The sequence below is a fragment of the Homo sapiens genome, chromosome 4 (assembly GCF_000001405.40).
Source record: "Homo sapiens chromosome 4, GRCh38.p14 Primary Assembly".
NCBI lineage: Eukaryota > Metazoa > Chordata > Mammalia > Primates > Hominidae > Homo > Homo sapiens.
In genome coordinates, this window is record NC_000004.12 from 12,362,451 (window position 1) to 12,364,935 (window position 2,485).

Sequence of the window (2,485 nt, forward strand, 5' to 3'; positions counted from 1 at the left end):
ATTCATATAGAATTCAAGAGTAGGTAAACTAGTCTATGATGATCAAGATCCAGACAATAATTGCCTTGGGGTACAGGAGTACCTGATAAAGGAACAGGAGAAAACATTCTGAGGTGATAGTTATATTCTTTATCTTAACTAGTGTGGTGGTTACATGAATGCATACATTTGTCAAGACTCATCAAAGTGTATGCTTCAGATCTGTGCATTTTCTTACATGTAAATTATACTTCAGTTATTGTCTCCAAACTAAGTATCAAAACAGAAACTAGAAAATTGCATGTGTAAAATACAATTAAATTAATAGAAGGAAGAAGAAGGAGAAAAATAAAGAATGTAAAGGTTTAAGATAAAGGAGAAAAAAATGAAAACCAAGAGGTTTGATGGAAAATGGAGGAAATTATGGAGTAATAATCACATTATAATAATACAGAAAAGGATATTGGAAAAGAGAAATGGAAAAAAAATTCCGATGATAAAGGATAAATGAAGGTTTCAACCCAAAGGTTTGAAAAAATGATAATTTTATTTACTCTCAAGAGAGAACCATGAATGCTAGGAGAAAATTAATGCCCTGCTGAGTGACCATTTTATCCCATCTATAGATCACAGCATGTATATTATTCTTTCCTCCTGGGACTTTTAAAAACCTGTTTGCCTTCTATTTCTTACATAATCTGAGTCCTAAAGCACAAATACAAATGCATTGCAGTGTAATTTAAACTATAGTTCTATAAAGACTCCCAATACAGATAAAATGTTTTTCCAGCCTTTAACCCTTGTATAGATCTTAAATCTATTAAATAGAGGCAAGCAATACCTTAAGTAGAAAAGAAGAATAAAAAAGGTATTGGTGTTTATAGGAAATTTATTCTGCAAAAATAAAAATCTTTTAGGCAATTTACATGAGCTAACTCAGTTAACCCTTTTGATGTTCATAGAAGTTTCTTGATAGAAAAAACCTCTCTATTGAACATGCATTACTAATTGGAATCACTGACTCACAAGAATAGATTATAAAATAGGCATTTTATAAACCGGTTTATAGCTTGAAATTGGCCACGTGGGGAGTATTCACACCGGAAGAATCAGTACACACTACAAATTGTGAATTTTGGTTTTCTCCTCAGAGAGCTGGTTTACCAGCACAGCACTGTTTATATTCTTGTTCTTTGTAAAAAATTAATTTTATTAAATTAATATGTGTCTTCCCCCATTAAATTGCTCTCTCCATGATAAATATGGCCTATATTTTATTTTATTTTGCACTTTATTTTGAGACACAGTGCATAGCAATGAAAGCACAGGCTTGAATAGTACATTTTTCTAATTTACTGTTAAAGATATTAAAGCACATGGGTTACATAACTTATCAAAGTTCACACAGCAAGGAAGTAATAGAGCCATAAGGCAAATTTATCTTACTGGAAAACTCTATAAGCCATCATATCCCCTGTGACCTGCAGGTACACATCCAGATGGCTGGTTCCTGCCTTAAATGATGACATTCCACCACAAAAGAAGTGAAAATGGTCAGTTCCTGCCTTAACTGATGACATTATCTTGTGAAATTCCTTCCCCTGGCTCATCCTGGCTCAAAAGCTCCCCTACTGAGCAACTTGTGACCCCCCCACTCCTGCCCGCCAGAGAACAACACCCCTTTTTCCTTTACCGACCCAAATCCTATAAAACGGCCCCACCCCATCTCCCTTCGCTGACTCTCTTTTCAGACTCAGCCTGCCTGCACCCTGGTGATTAAAAAACTTTATTGTTCACACAAAGCCTGTTTGGCAATCTCTTCATACAGATACGAGTGAAATTTGGTGCTGTGACTCGGATTGGGGGACCTCCCTTGGGAGATCAATCCCTGTCCTCCTGCTCTTTGCTCCTTGAGAAAGATCCACCTACAACCTCAGGTCCTCAGACTGACCAGCCCAAGAAACACCTCACCAATTTCAAATCTGGTAATCGGCCTCTTTTTACTCTCTTCTCCAACCTCCCTCACTATCCCTCAAACTCTTTCACCTTTCAATCTTGGTGTCACACTTCAATCTCTCCCTTCTCTTCATTTCAATTCCTTTCATTTTCTGGTAGAGACAAAGGAGACGCGTTTTATCCATGGACCCAAAACTCTGGCGCCGGTCACGGACTGAGAAGGCAGCCTTCCCTTGGTGTTTAATCACTGCAGGGACGCCTCTCTATACACCCACGTTTCAGAGGTGTCAGACCATGCAGGGATGCCTGGCTTGGTCCTTCACCCTTAGTGGCAAGTCCCACTTTTCTGGGAGAGGGGCAAGAACCCCTCAACCCCTTCTCCTTCACCCTTAGCAGCAAGTCCTGCTTTTCTAGGGGGCAATAACCCCCAATCCCTTATTTCCGCGCCCTGACCTCTTATCTCTGTGCCTCGATCCCTTATTTCTGCACCCCAACCTCCTATCTCTGCACCCCAAACCCTTATTTCTGTGCTCCGACCCCTTCTCTGCTT

At 39.2% G+C, this 2,485-nt stretch overlaps 1 annotated feature.

Moving 5' to 3' along the window:
- Positions 1,733-2,232: an enhancer, noted in NCBI's record as "OCT4-NANOG-H3K27ac hESC enhancer chr4:12365807-12366306 (GRCh37/hg19 assembly coordinates)". NCBI's record gives its function as "activates a minimal SCP1, AML or CMV promoter by ChIP-STARR-seq in primed H9 embryonic stem cells {active_cell/tissue: H9 hESC(primed)}" and the evidence as "EXISTENCE:reporter gene assay evidence [ECO:0000049][PMID:30033119]".